At 38.6% G+C, this 19,149-nt stretch overlaps 1 long non-coding RNA gene across 1 annotated transcript; it reads left to right on the forward strand.

Moving 5' to 3' along the window:
* The first annotated feature begins 4,582 nt into the window (after positions 1-4,582).
* Positions 4,583-15,886, forward strand: LOC124904869 (uncharacterized). The gene is made up of 2 exons (XR_007067529.1): positions 4,583-9,325; positions 10,972-15,886. It is a non-coding gene; the product is annotated as an uncharacterized LOC124904869 (long non-coding RNA).
* The last annotated feature ends 3,263 nt before the right edge of the window (positions 15,887-19,149 follow it).

The following is a 19,149-nucleotide window of genomic DNA, read 5'->3' on the forward strand; positions in this document are numbered from 1 at the left end:
GAGTTTCTATGCACTTTACCACTTCAACCTTAAACTGAGAAATTAAAAAGATTCAGTAGATGGCCAGTCAGTAACTTTTTGTTTAACAATATTTCTTGTGGGATTTTAAACCCGTGGTGGGTAACTACTTTAGACACTAAACAGGGCCCTGGTGAATATTCAAAATGCCTATTTCATGGCCACGGACACTCTAAACAAAAATGTTTTACATGAATCAAGAAGAGAAGGGCATTTAAAATGTTTAGAGCCAATAACATTAATCAAAACAACGAGCCAAAGGAAAGAAGAGGCACTTTAAATTTCCATAACATATTGTAATATGTAGTTTGTAATGCATCTATGCATTTCTTTCTTGGAATAACATGCTTCTTGGAGCATATTTTTATTTGAATCTGGTAGTGCAGATGGCACAGGAAAGTGTGAGTCTCTTGGGGTGCTGAGAAAATGAGAGGGTTAGGCTGGAATATAAAATGAGAAAGAAAGACCTATTTAGATGGTAAAGGAAAAGAGGGGAACAAAAAATGTTGATGATGAGATCTGAAGGGTGAAAGAGAAAGGTACCTTGCAGAGTAGCATGGACAACATATTTGTCTACCTAAGCCTCCTCCATATTTATTTTGGAAAACTCAGTACCATTCCCCTATATAGGGTAACTCTTCTTCCCTCGGTTTCCCATGGAGTAATTTTACAGAGGACAGACAATGCTAAGACCTGAATCAACAGGAGGGTTGGGTGTACTACTCAAAATAAGCTAAACAGTGGTGTTCAAACGATGTAGACCAAGATGGATGAGACATTGTAGAGTGGCCAACTGTCCTTTTTTTCCCATGACTGAAGAGTTTTCCAAGGAAATGGGGTTTTAAGAGCTAAAATCAGGAAAAGCCCAGAAAAAACAGGACACTTGGCAGTTTAGATGAACGTTTCTGTGGCTCACGATCAATCTTATCTTGACGAATAAGGTAGAAAATTATTGTAGTCAAATTTGTCAGTTTTCAAATGAAAATCACTCTATGAGAAATCTGGTGGAGATCTTTGCTTTAACACCCCTCACGCTCAAACCAATTTAGTTAAGACAAGCATACGAGTTGGGATACTAAATGAGAGATTATAATTTTAGAAAATGTGAAAGGGCACATCTAATATTCTCTACTTACAAATAAGATTTCATAAAATTTCTCCCATTTAGCAAAAAGATCACATCACACATTAATTAAGCCATATCCTCATCTCTCTCCCTAAACTTCACAGGTACACATAGAGAACTATCAGTGAGGTATTACAGAGAATGGTAAAGAAATAGCCTAAAATGGTTAATTGCATCTACATTAGTTACTAATATATTGTATACCACCCAATTCTGCATTCAGATGGTAACACTTCTCTAAAGCCTAAAGTCTTGGTTTGGGTTCTCCACAAAGCAAAACCTGAGACAAGAATATCAGTGGAGGTCATTTATTTGGAAGTGAGTCCCAGGGGCAAAAGTAGGGATGTGTGGAAAGTGGGATAGGAAAGAGAGAAAAGCCAAGAAGGGTGTATTAATCATCTGGTTGCTGCTGTAAAAATCTGGGGCTCAGTCCCGCTGAGAATTTGAGAATTATGTAGAAAATTCCCCAGACTTATAGGAAGATGAAGGTGCAGGAATATTTGTCCAGTGGCTCTCTTCAAACCCTAGTGGAGAGCTGACCCTGAGGGTGTTAATGGCCGGAGCATTGGGGTTTTGCAGTTTGGCAATGTTTCATGGCTAAGATGCACACTTCACTGACCCATGCCCCACCCCCATTGTGCAGAAATTAGGTGGGCCAAGGCAATGAGATACAATGCACCAGAAGCATCTGCTGCAGCATCCTAACATTTCTGCATATAAAATATTTTCCTTATACAGTCACCCTACAGGGACCTAACATAAGCTAATGAAGACTCTTGAAGACCGTATAGGAGCAATAGGCTTATTTACTAATGATCAATTGAAGCTGAGCGAAGTTAAGAAGTGACTTAAAACCGCACATGGACTCTTGGTAGAGAAAGATAAAAAACTGAAATTTTTTTCCTTCATTCCAGGGGATATCTGTTCACACTGAATGTGTGAGTATAGCCAAAGAGCCTGGAATGTGGGACAGCTACAAACACGATTTTGATATTAATGTGGGAATGATTCAGAGTTTCTCTTCTCTCATGCTTTGAAAATTATTCTTAATAGAAACATTTCATTGTATAAAAGCAAAACAACATGCTATTTGGAAATAGAAATTGTGAAGTTGAATACTGAGCACAGTACCTACTTACTGGGAAACATCAGGCAAAAATAAAATGCTTTCGTTTAGTTTCAGTTTCTTCATCTGTGAAATGAGTACGGCTTACTCTGTCTCGAAGTACGCTGCTGAAGATTAAATGAAATCAATTAGGTAAAAAGCATTGTAAGTCATAGCTACCAATGTTGTCAATATCATTAAAAGTACTACTAAAAATTTCCCCAAGTGTGACTTTTTGGAGGGTCTTTGAATCTGAGTTCTGCATACTTGCTTTCCAGTGCCCCTCCATACTGCAAAAGACCACCATGGATATGGTGAGACATGCAATAAAGCTAAGGAGCAAAAATTAGAAATCCACAACAATTTATTGTCAATATAACAACATATTGATTATTTATTGACTGAACTTTAGCACATGAAAATTGTGTTTGCAAATAAATGCAGACTAACCCAAGAAGGGCAACAATGGTTTGTTACAAGGGGTAAAACAAAAAGTATCTTAGACTACTGTTCATTTTTTTGGTTACAGTGTTCCAAAGAGCCCAGTGAGTTTGCTGTGGGTTTGTGTGTTTCTGTTTAACTATATAGCAGGCCCCAGAGAATACAGGAGACTTTTCATATCTTTGTTGCACGATGCCTTCCCTGGAACCCCAGAGAATGGCTTTGATGATTTACTCTCACAATATGCTTGAAAAGAAATCAGCATTGTTTTTGTTTGGCATATTTTTTTTCTTTATTCTTTCTGGTTTAAAATTGCTCTATTAAGCCATATGCAAAAAAGGCTTTACCCCAGGCCAGACAGATTTCAATGAAGGAGGTTAAAAAAGAGCTGAGTTAAACTCACTGTTACATCAAACTCAAACCTTCTAGGTGATAATCCCTGAAGTCAAATTTCAAACTCTAGTTTTTGTTAAGCAGCCTGTAGGCAACTCCACTAATAAAAGCCTCTTATCGGTATTGTATATCAAAGTTCACAGCTATGATTCACCACCATTATCATATGCACAATTTATGAACAGTTTGATATAAATACATATTTTTTCTATGTATTGGTGGGCTGGAGTATGCATTGAACTTGACCATTGACAGCTCTTGCCAAGAACTGAAAGGCCAGCAATTAAAAAAAAAAAAAAAAAAAACCCAAAAAAACCATACTACTGGTACATTTACCAACAAGGATGGGTCTCACAGGTATTTTGTTGAGTGATATGGTTTGGCTGTGTCTCCATGCAAAATCTCATCTTGAATTGTAATCTCCATAATCCCCACATGTCAAGACAGAGGTAATTGAATCAGGGGGCAGTTTCCCTCCTTGCTGTTCTCATGACAGTGAGTGACTTCTCATGAGATCTGATGGTTTTATAAGAGTTCAGTAGTTCCTCCTGCATTCATTTCCTTCCTGCGCCCTGTGAAGAAGGTGCCTTGCTTCTCCCTTGCCTTCTGCAATGATTGTAAGTTTCCTGAGGCTTCCTCAGCCATGCTGAACTGTGAGTCAATTAAAACTTTTTCCTTTATAAATTACCCAGTCTCAGCCAACTCTTTATAGTAGTGTAAGAATGAACTAATATATTGAGTGAAAAACATAATGAGACAAAAAGAACTCACGTTGTATGACTCCATTTATATGAAGTTCAAGAACAGGTGAAATTAATCTATGGCGATAGAAGGCAGAGAGTGGCTATCTCTGGGTGAGTGTATACAGGGGGGGCTTTAGAGAGCCTTATGAGATATTAGAAGTGATCTACATCCTTATTTGGGTGATAATTATGGGGGTTGCATATATACATAAAAATCATGAAACGGTACACTTAAGATTCCCAGCTTGTACACTTTATTGTATGAATGTTACATTTTAGCTTAATTACAGACACACACACACACATACACACAAACATGCACATGATGAGGGACCCAGATAGGTAAAGAGTAGGTTATTTTAAAAACAACTAGTTTAGTGGTTCTCAAATCTATCTGTGAATAAGAAGTCACCTGGAGAGCTTGTTAAGAATACAGATTTTGTCTGGGCGTGGTAGCTTGCGCCTGTAATTCCAGCACTTTGGGAGATGGAGGCAGGCAGATCACTTGAGGTCAGAAGTTCCAGAACAGCCTGACCCACATGGCAAAAACCCCATCTCTACTAAAAATTAGCTGGGTGTCGTGGAAGGTGCCTATAATCCCACCTACTCAGGAGGCTGAGGCAGGAGAATCACTTGCTCCTGGGAGGTGGAGGTTGCAGTGAGCCAAGATCATGTCACTGCACTCCAGCCTGGGTGACAGAGCCAGATTCCATCTCAAAAAAAAAAAAAAAAAAAAGAAGAAGAAGAAGAAGAAAAAATACACAATTTTAGGCTGCTTCCTTGACAGATTTGGCCTCTGAGAGTAGGACCCAGGGATGAGTACTTTAATTTTTTTTTAATATGCACTCCGAAGTGATTACTATATGATCAGTCTGTAATTGTCCACATGTGGCATTGAGGAAGCAGAGTTAGTTTACATAGGGCCTATGATATGTGTTCAGAGATCCTTTCCATTGATCATGTCATTTGAATCTTAATCTTATAGGGCAAGTAAAAGTAATATCATTTCTCTTTTACAGATGAGGGATTAAAGTTCAGTGAAATTCAGATACTTACCTTTAGCTCACTGAGAGTAGAGTCAGGTCTCCTAGTCCACATTTCATTTTGCTCTACCATTGTGAATGACAAGCCTTGCCTCTCCTTGAAGACTTTCTTAAATGGGCAGTTAAACGCCTCCTGTGATACCCTAGATCAGTTCAAACCCTCTGGCTACCTATGGTGACAAATCTGCTTTTTAAAAATATATATATTTTTTAATGAATGAGACCAATATGTTTACAAAATACAATAAAAGCCAAAAGCTAGAAAAATAAAATCCAAAGGCGTATAAAATACAACCTTTCATTTTTTTATTTGTGTAAATAGACTTAAAATACCATTTCAAAAAATAAGTAAGTGTAACATAGAACGATTGCTCATAAACATTTTTAAATGTTTGTACTCAGGTTTTATACTCTTCTCATCTCAAGCTGGTAACAAATAGTTTGCTAATCAACACTGGCCTGATTAGCAGTCAGACCAGTGGCCAGACCAGTGCTGATTAGCAAACTATTTGTTACCAGTCTGAGATGAGACTGGTAACACTTTCAGCAGCTGTCCTTCGCTTCATTATTGGGGGGAATTCAGCCCTTTTTTAGGAAACCTCTTTTCCCATGACTTCCAGCCAACAGGATCTGGTTCTATTTTCTGGAGCAATTAGTCGCAAGCTAACTGTCTTACATTATAACACCCCTGCCACTTGAGGACAGTTGTCTGCCGGAGATCCAACCAAACCTTCCCAGTTTCTTCTATTGACTTTCCTAAAATGGAATTCTTTTGTACTCCTTATCCTGGGCCTTCTCATCTAAACAGTCATTTATATTCCCCTAAACCAGCATCCAGGAGTGGAACACAGAACTCTAAATATGAAAGTGCATATTCTTTGCAAGACTTCTCACCTCCTCCTCCTTCTAATTTTCACAATTTATAGGCCATTCTTGGCTTTGGGTCTATAAGGACAAATTTCACTATGTTCTTTATCCCTTGTAGGGATAAAGTCTACAATCTGGCAGTTACCTAGGAGCTAAAACATCCGAGTAGCAGAGTTCCATAAGCCATTGAGTTGACAGAAAATTGCAACAAGGAAGGAGTAGCCAGTGGAATACGGCAATGGCCTGAGAGTCTAAGTTGAGGGGCAATCTTAAAGTGGCTGACAACATTCCCTTCATTTCTTGTTCTAGTGGAAAGCTTAGCACTTAGCTTCCTTTGTAGATCAACTGGTGGTTGTTTTTCTTCTCACACTGTCAGTGCCGGCTACTCTGAAGATGGGGTAGGTGTCCTACTCACTCCTTAGTGCGATCTCTGAATCATCTCCCAAATTCCTCTCTAAACACTGCCCCCTACAACTTAGAATCCCAGGCCATTGCCATATTCCACCTGCTACTCCCCCCTTGTTGCAATTATCTGTCAACTCAATGGCTTGTGGACTCTGTTACTTGGACGTTTTAGCTCCTAGATATCTGTCAGACTCTATTTCTAATGTCTTGGTGGCTCAGTTTCTTACTTCTCTTGGCATACTCTTGCCCTGCACCCTACTTCACACACACTGGGTCTTCATACCTGAGACACTGCCATTGCCAATAACTGTACCCCCTCCATTCTCTCAGTGTCAAACATCTCACACTAGCACTGCCACTTCCACACCTTCCTTCTCACTCCCTCTGATACATCACCTGCGTAGTTCTTAAATCCCACTGAGAACTCCAAATAACTGATGCTATCACCTCTTCTTAGTCCCTCAAAACCATACAGAATCCTTATCCATCTTAAATTCTGTGGCCAGCCATTATAATCACATTTTTGCCAACAAACACAAGTACTTGTGAAACTAAGCCATAGTCTTTGCTAAATCCAACTTTCTGTCTGCCCTATACTTGGTCACCTAGAGCTGAAAGTGGCTGAAAAAAAAACATACAACCATGATTGTTTGTCTCACATTCACTTCCTATCATCAACCTCAAGTGGCTCTTACCGCTATATGGTACTTAAATTTTCCCCGATCTATTTATTTATTCTCAAATCTCCTAGGAAACTATTTCATACCTTTTAATCTCTGCTCTACTCCTCCACACCTCCCTCCTCATCCTCAATCTCAGATGATGGCTCTGCTTTCTATTTCATAAAGAATATGGAAACATGCATAAGAGTATTCCTGCAGTTTCCCACTGCCACTTGTCCCTGCTTAGTTCCATCCATGCCCTATATTTGGTTTCTCTCCTATTAGGATCTCAGCATTGCCCATACTCCTAGCTAAGGGCAGTCCCTCCATTTGTCCACTAGATTTCATCCCTTCCTCACTTTCTAAAGATATCAGTCTAGAAATTCTGTCACTCTCATCATTTTTTTTTTTAAACTGGAATTTTCCCAACAACATGTAAGCACTTTTCCATTCCTAACACTATCTAGCCATTACCTTATTTCTTACCTTCCCTGTATAGCTTATCTCCTTGAAAGAGTTGCTAGTGCAGGCTTCTATTTGCCTCTTTCATTCTCTCTTGAGCCCACTCTGATCAATTTTGTCCCCATGACACCACTAAAACTGCTTCAACCAAGGCCATGAATGATTTCCATATTTACAGATCTCATTGTAAATTTATTCTGATTTCTTGTTTTACTTACTCTTTCAGCAGTAGATGACCAGCTTCTCTCTTACTTGAAATGTCTTCTCCATTTGGCTTTCTGAGTACCATAGAGATTATCTAATAGGTATTTAAAATAAATCTGTTAAAAACTGAGTTATTATTATTTGACTGAAAACATTCTCATTTGCAATCTTCTTCATCTCTAGCAAATGCTCAGGCTAAAACTCTTGGTATTACTCTTGACTGCCCTGAAAAACTTCCATCAGATAAACCTCTTCCATCAGATCAACCATATCTGATGAATAAGGAAATTCTGTTGGTGTCCATTCAAAGTATATCCAGGATTTGAGGACATCACATCTTCACTGTTAGCATTTTGGTTCAAGCCATCATCATCTCTTACCTGGGTGATTGACAATGTCTTCCAACCAGTCTCCCTGGACCCCTTTCATACAGTGGCTACTCTTGCTGATTTGGTTAAATTTCCAGTCAGATCACGTCATTCCTCTGCTGAAGCTGATGTCTCCCTTCTTTACTCAGAATGAGATCCAATGCTCCAATCGTGACTCACAAGGCCCCAGACAATCCATCTTTGATAGCCTCTCTGACTGCATCATCTTCTGTTCCCAGTCCTGTTTTTGCTCCAGTCACACTGGGCTCCTCACTTCCAGGCATTGCCGACTCAAGGCCTTTGCCTCAGATGTTCCTTCTCCCTAGAACTTTCATTCTGAGATCAGCATGGCTTGCTCACGTCCATCCTTCATATCTTTTCTCAAATAGCCTCTCTCAATGAGGACTTCCTTACTCAACTTATCTAAAATTGTAACCCTTCTATTCCCAACATATATTCCTATTTTTGCTTTCCTTTTCTTCTTACCACTTTTTCCTATAGAATTTTTTTTTCATTCCTTATTTGTCCTTTCTACTAGTTTTGGGTTTTATGAAGGCAGGATTTGGTGTGTGTTTTGTTTACTACTATATTCCTAGCACCTAGGACGCTGCCTAGCACACGGTAGGAACTCAATAAACACTTATCGTGTGAATCAATGGTTAAGTGAATGCAGGGGATGTTGGACTTTTACTTCTTAAGATACGAACATTTTATTCCATAAATACAAACTAAATGTGGATCAGCTTCTCTTATATTTAAGCAATCACATCCTACTCTTGATATATACCACGCTTATGATCAACTACAATTCCCAGCTCTTTTTCATGTGAACTTCTGCCAAGCCAGGAGTTCCCTATTATGTATTCATAGAATTATTTTTAAATTCCCACACATGGCCCTTTATAAACTTCATCTTGTTAAACTCAACAGCCCAAGTCTGCCAAGAGATAATTCTGGATCTTGATTTTGCTATATCTTACATTAACATTATCTTCTAGCTTTGACAAACTGTTTTGTTTGACTTTATTTTTGTTTATTATAATGATAATCAGATAGGACAAATAAAAAAATTTGTGGGCCATCAGAAGAGAAGTTGGGACAGACTGCATCTTTCAAAAACAGCTGCACCAATGAATGCTCTTTTATACTGTGGTGGTACTATCCCTTATTGCGATATTGGGTCTCATTTCCCTTCCCTTTAAACTGAAGACTCTTAAAACTGCCTCAATCAATAAAGTAGGGTAGAAGCAACTCTTTGTGACTTCTGAAAGTTAAATTAGCGGTGACATTACTTCTTCCTGTTTTTTTCTTTCTTGGGACATGCACCTTGGACCCTGAGCTGAAATGAAAGAAGTCTGGTTACACTAAGGCCACCATGCTGGAGAAATCACCTGGACAGACCACATAGAGATAGAAATTAAAGCCTGAGGTGCCTCAGATGTTCCAGCCCCTAGTTGTTTACATTTCTGAAGCCCTGGCACCAGACATGTAAGTGATGAAGGCATCAAGATGACTCTAACACTGCAACTTCATGAGGGACCCTGAGCCAGAACCACCTCACCGAGTTGATCCTGAATTCTTGACCCACAGAAACCATGAGAGATAAAAGAACAATGATTGTAGTTTTAAGCCACTCATTTTTTAGATGATCTGCTACAGAGCAATGGGTGACTATCACCTATTGTAGTAGAATGAGCTTCCTGGTGATCAGGAAGTTAAAAAGAATGGGTAAGACTTTACACACTGTCTTTTATAGATTCTCATGCCCACAATATCTGATCCAATGTTTCATAGTTTGATACATCTGATTATCAGCTCCTCCTCCTGTGGGAGAAGTAAGTAACAGGGTGCAGGTACACAGTTGAAATACTGTTGTGGAGAGTGGTGGACTCTACTGAATTAGGTCTTGGGGGCTATATATCAGAAACACTCAAGGTGTGGGAGAACACTAATATTCTCTGAGGGGAAACACAATCAATTTTCTTTAAGCATATGCTGAGTAGCAAGTTTCCAAAACACAGACTCTTTGGGGTAAACAAGAACAATGGTTTCAGTGAATTGAGATAGAATGAAGATGACTAGAAAGCAAGCTTTGGGAGATTGGTACAAGAATGGTGATAGGCTTTGATTCACGATTTTGCTTTGACCGGCCCCATTTGTCATTTATTTGAAGAAAATTTGAAGAAACAATTGTTTTGCATGGTGTTGAAATCTCTGTTGATACAAGCTCCTTTTCTGCATTCACCAAGTTCTCTGTGCTCACCACCTTTGGGTTTGATTTGCCAATGGGAGGACACTTTTAAGCTCTAAGGCAGAATGTTACCTTTCCATATATTTGCTCCAAATTTACATTCTCACATTTGAGTGAAAAATAAAAAGAAAAAACTCTAATTATTTCATTTACTCCAGTAATGTCTAATATATTGCAGTCTTTGGAGTGCCAACATTTTATATGGGATTTCAATTGATTCTTCTCACCTTGTCTTTTGATTTTAGGCAACCTGGGTTCATTTAAAGGCACAAACCCTATCTCAAGTTTTTCATTTAAGATACTGGCTTTAACTCTGTTCCTTCGCTCCTATCATTGTCATAATACCATTGTTTTTATATTAATAGCTTTACCAACTTGAACTGTAGATAGATATTCTAAGGTTTTGCTCTTCAAGAACAGATATAATAATTTATTAATATCTTCTTTCCCCAACACCTCTCTTTATGATTTCCTAAACTGATTTTAATCATAATGTCTGAAATTTTCCCTTTTGGACATTTATTTCAGGAGTATACAGAACAAAGAAAATTAGCCACAATTGGGTTTAAATGAACTTAATCAGATGATTTTTTAATGAGCAATGAGGGGTTGTCTCCCTCTTATTTCTCTTTTTCCCATAGAGTCGGACCATGCAAAAAATGCACACAGAATCTGTAGCCAAAAGAGAAGCAAATCACAAGGTTGTTAATTTCTGGAACTTAAGTTTTGGATAATTTAATCCCATATTTAAGTAATATCTGAGCTGCTTTTAGTTCTGGGGCCAATGGGTGTTGTCACCCATCTCTTACTCAGAATCTAAATGATATAATTTGGCATTTTTACTTCTTTCTGCAATGAAGTGATTCTGATACCTCCTCTCCAGTAGGTCACGTGGACAAGGATGGTCCTTCTCTCTGGAAAGCAGGCCTAGGGCCCCTGCAGATATGCTCACAGCACGGTGTCAAGTAGAATGAGCTTCCTGGTGATCAGGAAGTAAAAGAGAATGGGTGAGACTTTACACACTGCCTTTTATAAATTCTCATGCCCACAATATCTGATCAAATGTTTCATACTTTGATACATCTGATTGTCAACTCCTTCTGTGGAAGAAATAAGTAACAGAGCGGAAAGAGACCAGAAAGTCCTTTGTGGGCATTCCTTTTGAGTGGGAAGAAGGGGAAGAAATTACCTTGGGGTGGGCCAGTAAGGCTAAACGAGAACTGGAGTCTGTCATCCTTCACTTGCACCATCTTCCTAGACTCTATTTCCTCTTATCCAATTATGTTTAACAGCTGGGTCAATAGTTGAATTCGATTGTGGCTGATATTTCAGGACAAGTATATCAAGCCTAGTGGTTTAAAATAATAACCATTCATTGTCTCTTGTGAATCTCAAGGTCAGTGTGGTGGTTCTGGTGATCTTGGCTGGGATCATTCATGCATCTGCAGTCAACTGCTGGGTCAGCTAGAGCCCAGCTGGTCAGGATGACCTCAAATGGGATGACGCTACTTTCTTCCCTATATGTCTCAGCTGTCTCCATCAGATAGCATGGGCATGTCTTCATGGTTACTGCCAGGGCAAGAAAGTCTCTGCATGCATCCCATTTCTTCTTGTTTCATTGGCCAAAGCAAGTCACACAACTAAGCCCAGATTCAAACTGGGAAGAGAATACACAGTTATAGAACAGGGAGAATTCAGGGATCCTATTAGTTGGGACTACGAATGCAATCAAGAGAAGCAATGTATCAGGAGAGTCATGGTATTAACTTCTTGATTCTGATGTCACCCCCAAAGAAGTTTCTGTAATAATGAAAATGTTCTGTACCTATGTTGTTCAATATGGTAGCCACTAGCTACCTGTGACAACTTAAATTTAACTTTAATTTAAATAAAAGTGAGAAAATGAGTTTCTTAGTCACAATAGCTGCATTTTAAGCCTTAATAGCTAGCAGTATACTAATAACTTTTTCTAATATTTTACCTTAAATCAGTGAGGTGAAAAATTATTCACCTACAAGTCTCTATAGTAGGTTAAAATGGGACATTAATTTGCTATATTTTAGGCATTTTTGTGTCCTATTGGGAAGTGATTTAAATTGATTAGGTCATGCTCAGCCAGTTTATTCTTCTGGGGAACCTTTAGCAGCTTACTGTAATGGAGAAGGTGATATATCTGCTCTCCACAGACCTGCTAAAACATTACAGTGAAGCCAAGTTTCAGACATTGCTCTGTCTCACCTGTAGACATTTATTGGCAAACAGGCTTGAGTCTGTTTGAGACATACCCTGCTCTGCAGGATCAATCAAGACACTGTCTCTACTTTTAGGCATGTTTTTCAGCTTCACTGAATTGTAATTCTATATATTCAAGGCATACAATGTGATGTTTTGATATACATATATATTTTGAAATTATTGTACCAATCAAACTAAATTAACATAGCCATCACCTCACATAATTACCTTTTGGTATGAATATGTGCTGAGAATGCTTAAGATCTACTCTCTTAGCAAATATCAAGTATATTATATATTAACTATAGTCACTGTGCTTTATATTATGTCTCCAGGACTTACGTATCATGCAACTGACCAATGTCTGTCTATTTTCCCCATCCCTAGACCCTGGTAACCATCTTTTTAGTCTTTGTTTCTGTGAGTTCAACTTCTTTAGATTACTCATGTAAGTGAGGACATGCTATGCTTGCCTTTTTGTCCCTGGCTTATTTTACTTAGCAAAATGTCTTTCAGGTTTCAGGTTCATCTATGTTGTTACAAACAATAGAATTTCCTTTTAGTTTTTTGAGAGAGCGACAAAGGTCTCACTATATTGCCCAGGCTGGTCTGGAATCAAGCTATCCTCCTACTTTATCCTCACAAGTAGCTGAGACTACAGGCATGGCACTGTATCTGGCTTTTTATTTTATGACAAAATTTATGTTTTCCAAAAGTCTGTTATATTTCTATTTTGTTTAAAGTTTTTCTAGCAATTTTTAGTTTTAAAACATAAATGCTAGAACATGCAGCAAATGTAATTTTTGTTAATAAGAAATTGTAATCTTTTGTGGATGGTAATGCATGATCAATTTTTGTAAAGATGTTAAGAAAAATTAGGAAAAAGATATATTTTTTGTTTACAGATTATATATTTCCCTACAAATTCCAGCTTTTATTTTATATTATTTAAACTATGCATTTATTTATCTTTGTGTTCCTCATCTATCAAAGGCTGAAAACTAATGAAGGCTTCTTCATTGGTTGCAATTTTGTCCATTTCATCTTTAAAGTTTTTAATTTATGCATTTGGCAAGCTGTGATTTTATGCATGCCATTTTATGACTGCTAAATTTACATTGTGAGTGTATATTTTAACAATAAAACATGACATTTTAATTTGAATCATCCTTCACTCGGAAAGAATGTAAACTTTTGGTAATGTACTATTAATATTATTCAGAAAGGGTACAGGATTGATATAATTTCTTAAGACTTGCATACTTAAGACCTTATTTTTCTTCTGTCCAAAGAATGCCGATTTGACTGTGTAGGAAATTACTGGATTACAATCCTTTTTTGTTTTTTTCTTGACTCTGCTTCATTATCTCCTGACATTTCTTTCCTTTTTTTTTTTTTTTGAAGTAATTTGTGTTTTCTTACCATGTCACTGTTGGATTTTGTTTTCTGTGTTTTGCTAATTCAAAAATGCATCCAGTAGTTGTCAAGTTGTAATGTTTTTTCTTATTGTTTTTGTTTGGTTGTCTGTTGGAATGTGTGAGCTTTTTTAACCAGCATACTTGAGTACTTTCTTGAACTCTTTTCTCTTTTTCAAAACTTAGATCATTATTGTCTTTGGTTCTGATTTTCCTTGTTTTGTCTCATCAGGTATGCCTATAAGTCTTAAGCTAAATTTTTATCCCCTAACTCTTTGTATTTAATTTTATACCATATTGTTTTTGTCTCTTTATCTTTTTCCTTTCAGTTCTGAGAAAAATATCTCAATTCTGACCTTCACAGTCTCTGCCCCATCATGAACTAGATTTTCAGCAATGCTGCATCTGTTTTATCTTAGCTCTAGTGAGGACTTTAATTGGATTTTACAACGTCAGTGTCCTTAAAACCCTTCCCTATCTCCTCAGTCACCTTCATCTCAGCTCACTGTTTTGTACCTTACCCTGAGGTTATATAATCATCTTCGTTATTTTTTCTTATACCTTTCTGTTTCTATTTTATATAGATGAAGACGTGTCTTCTGTATTAATAGGACTCAGACTTTCAATCAACGGTGTTTGCTGAACATCTATTTTGTGCTCAGGGACACCTTTATTAGGCACAGACATTATACAAAATAATCACCCAAACAATTGTATACTGAAAAAATCATAGGGTGCCCTGAGAGGATGTAACAGGAGGCCCACTTTAATCTGGGGGGTGAGGAAGGGACTCCTTGAGCAGCTACCATTTGAACTAAAACCTGAATAAAGAGCAGAGGGAGCCAGTTACGGAGAGGTGGGGGAGAGGCTGGATGCTCAGCAAAGCATGCAGCATGGCCCAGGAAGCCAAAAATGCTGCCTCCTTCCATGTACTCATTGCCAAGATTTCATGAAATCATCTTTCCCTTAATCTGTACAGTTTTTTAAATTTTATTATTATTTTTTGTTTTTTAAGGGGATCCTGTATTGCTGTTTTCTTCTTAGGTTGAGAGGAGTTTTTCTCTGGACCCTAATCAGGGCACAGGCCCTGTGGATAAGCCAGAGCTCATCTGCCAACTTTGGTGACAGTGGAAATCCTCTCTCATGTCAAAGCTGAACTGAGTTAGTGCCAATGTGTGTAGTTTCCAGTGCATCATGCTATCGAAGCGTGTTCATCTAGTATGACATTGCTGGACTAGGCGATGTCTTCTGCTATGCAAATTGCCTGATGTGCCTCTCTTACTAAAGAACACCCAGGCACGGAAGGGCTGCCAGCTTTCCTCGTAGGGAGGGGAAGTTTAGATACCAAATTCTGAGTCAGTGTCAAATTGGTGGAAGGCATTTTTGTCTTCATGTTTCCCAGCCAATAGAGCTGCTTTGTCTCATGAACAAGGACTTCATAGAGAGAGGACATTCCTTCCAAATTCTGAAACTAGATTACTCAGCACTCCTTGTTTTTGGGTGATGTGATCAGCTTGTTTTATTTTAGTTGTTTTATCGTCTGTTCATTTACATATGTTTTAGTGGTATGTAAGAAGTTGTAACAAGATGCTATTTTAAACTAGAAGTCTTATAACTGAGAACATGTGGTATTTGGCTTTCTGTTCCTACATTAGTTTGCTAAGACTAATCGCCTCCAGCTCCACTCATGTCCCTGCAAAGTACATGATATCATTCTTTTTTTATGGCTGCAAAGTATGTTGTATATGTACCACATTTTCTTTATCCAGTCTATCACTGATGGACATTTAGGTTGACTCCATGTCTTTGCTCTTGTGAACAGTGCTGCAATGAACATAGACATGCACGTGTCTTTATAATAGAACAATTCGTACCCCTTTGGGTATACAACCAAAGTAATGGGATTGCTGGTCAGCTAAATGATAAGACCACATGGACACATAGAGGGGAACAACACAAACTGGAACCTATCAGAGGGCGGAAGGTGGGAGGAGAGAGAAGATCAGAAAAAATGACTATTGGGTACTAGGTTTAATACCTGTGTGATGAAATAATCTGTACAACAAACCCCCATGACACACATTTACCTATGTAACAAACCTGCACATGTACCCATGAACTTAAAATAAAAGTTAAACAAGTAAAATAGAAGTCTTTTATGTGTTTTTGCTCTGTGAAAGTTCCTGGAACTAGTTGATTTTAAAACCAGTCTTTTGGCAAGTGAAAATTTCTTTTAACAGCAGAAAGGAAAAGCATGCATGAAGGTCAGGTCAGTATTCTTTATTAACCAGTTCTTTTATTGTCTAGTATGAACTTGCGGGGATTTGGGTAATGTAGAAAGATGGCGAAGAGAGAGCATTGATCTGTGTATGAGGATTCCCAGCTCTGACATTAAATGTGACCTCCCTGGAGTCACGTTCCCTCTTTGCCAATGGAAGAACTCAGACAAGTCCATCTTTTTCAAGTTGTTCTGTAATATCCTAAGTCCTTGCCACTCCAAGTGTACTCCTGCACCAGCGGCATCATATCACTTGAGAGCTAGTGAGAAATCCAGATTTCAGGCCCCACTTTAGAGCTATTGAATCTGAACCCGAGTTTTTAACAAGACTCAGTGATTCCTATACTTGTTAAGGTTTGAGGAGCGCTGATTCTGCATGAGTCTATGATGCTAGAGGGCCCCTCATGGGAAAGCCAGGGGATGTGGCAGAGGGAAAAAGCAGGGTGTTGGAAGAGGATCTTTCTTCACTGTACTCTCTCCAAACTGCTTCAAACAGGGAAACCTCTTTTTTGCCTTTCTTTTCTTTTTAATAGATTAGCAGTGCTCATATATTTCCTTTCGGGAAAGACAGGTCCTTCTGCAAATAAGAAAATTCTTTGGCTAGGGTATCATCAACATTATTTCAGCCCAAAAGCTTCACAAATACACTTTCAAAGGCAAGAGGAAGGAAGGCAAATTGATTATAGCTTCAGAGGAAAATAATTAATACAATACTAAGCATACAGACTTGTTTTCTTGGAGCTCGTGTGGGATTAGACTGTTGCAGGGCTGTTGGAAATTCAGGAAAGGTTACCTTGATTTCTGCAGGAGGGAAGAAACTGGTCCTATACTACCACCAAGGCCCAGGAGAAACCCCATACCTGGATGCTCACAGAGCTCAGAGTAGGGGCAAGACAGCTCTCCCAATATTTCTAGCCTCCGAGCAAATTTTAAGGAATGTCAGATTTTTGGCATAAAGCATAGAATGGTCAAATGGCATATTATTTCTGCAATGGCAAGATTTATTTATATTCATTTGACAAGATGCATTATTAATTTCTGTTTGGCCAAAAAATGTTCATATGTCCACCTTCTATAATCTTCCCTTTCTCCCAGCTATCACCACAATAATTCTGCACAATTACCTCCAACATAATGTCTTAAAGCATGAAGTATTTTGTTTTGTTCTGTTTTTCTCGCAAATCTGCAGGTTGACTGAGAGACTGGCTGGCCTGGGCCAGGCTTGGCTGATCAGGGCTGGGCTTGCATCTGAGTCTGAAATGTGCTGGCAGAATGACTGGAGCTGGCTGGTTTGCCATAGGCTCCACTGAGATAACTCAGGTCTCCTCCCCGAATCATCCACATCTCTCTACTATGCTAACCTGTAGCTGTTATCACAAGAAATTGCAGAAAAGCAAGAGAGAAAGCAGAAATGCAAAGATGCAAAGATGCTTTTTAAGCCTTTACTTTCCTCCCATTTGCTAACTTCCCATTGACTTGAAGAAGTCCCATGGGCACCTCCAGGGTAGAAAGCCTCAGGGTAAAGGGTGTGAATACATGGAGGGCATTCATTAAACAAACTTGATTGGATTTAAATCAATTAAATTGAATATCAAGCTGACACATATGATCTTAAAACAGGAATTGGCAGGAAACCAGCTTAAGAAATGCTAAAAAGTTGAGTGACTTAGGAATAAAGTCTAAGTTCATGCCCTTTGCAGGGACATGGATGAAGCTGGAAACCATCATTCTCAGCAAACTAACACAGGAACAGAAAACCAAACGCCATGTGTTCTCAGTCATAAGTGAGAGTTGAACAATGAGACCACATGGACACAGGGACGGGAACATCACACACCAGGGCCTATCGGGGGTGGGGGGTAAGGGGAGAGATAGCATGAGGAGAAATATCTAATGTAGATGATGGGTTGATGGGTGCAGCAAATCACCATGGCAGTTGTATACCTATGTAACAAACCTGCACATTCTGCACATGTATCCCAGAACTTAAAGTATGATCATAAATAAATAAATTCTCAGAACATGGCTACCTCAGACAGATGGGGTTTGTTGCATTACAATAAGAAATAGGCACAGGTACAAAGTGAAGAGATTGACGACTTTTCAATCAGCCAGTTAGATTAAAATAACATGAGGAAAGGCCTATGGCAAGTATTCTATTTTTTCCTGTTTCTGGTTTGGGAGATACCATGCCCTGTCTTGCGTATTAACTCTCTAAACAAAGGCATGGTGTACTGCTGCCCAATTGATTTATGACTAATTCAACTTTACACGGTACTAATGTGATATTTACATGTGACCAATCATCTCTGCCAAGTACTTCTTCCATGGTCGACTTAGGCCCTCCTGTCAGGCACTGCCTTTAAAGTGCTTTTATGTAAGCATTTAATAAAGCCATGTGGCTGGCAATTACTGCAAGAAATGTTTATCTCCTGAATCTTAGATAGTCAGAAATAAGCTATGTGACTGACATACTCCTTTATCTCAGAACAAGCTTTGCTGGAGATGTCCAAACCTGGGAGGAAAACTCAGACTGAAATCTGTGAACTATCCTAAGTATATCAGGAATAACCCAGACTAATTTGAGTCTTGTTTTCCCTCCTACTGGGGACAGGAGCATGTGGGGTGGGAAGGTTAATGTAGTGCAGCCTTATCGCCTTTGGGCAATTCTGCCAACTTGGAATAGTTTTGTGTCTCTTCTCTGAAAAGGAAATGTGCTTTGCCATAGTGATAAGGAGGATAGTAAAGAGGTCAATCCAGGGAGATGAGGATGCCTACCAATGCTCCCTGTTCTACCCGGGATTATTATGAATCTAGGAAGTGAGAGGCTACAGTTAATTTTAGTTCTGAGTAATTCAGTCTCTAAGGGCTTTCTTTGAGAAATACAAATAACTCAACAGAACCTTGACAAAAAGGCCACATTCTATGCACCCAGGGCGAGGGCCCACATTTGATTTTTACACAGGAGTCAACTCAGACCTAATTCAACAAAGACAAAAATAAGATTTCTATACTTTTCAAGAATCTGTTATGCTCATCTTCCATGCCTTTGCTAAATAGAATAATTTTGCTCTATGGCTCAGGAAAAAAAGAGCAGGAATTGGTAATAACTTCCTTCTAATCATTATATCAT

This window comes from Homo sapiens, chromosome 20 (genome assembly GCF_000001405.40).
Source record: "Homo sapiens chromosome 20, GRCh38.p14 Primary Assembly".
NCBI lineage: Eukaryota > Metazoa > Chordata > Mammalia > Primates > Hominidae > Homo > Homo sapiens.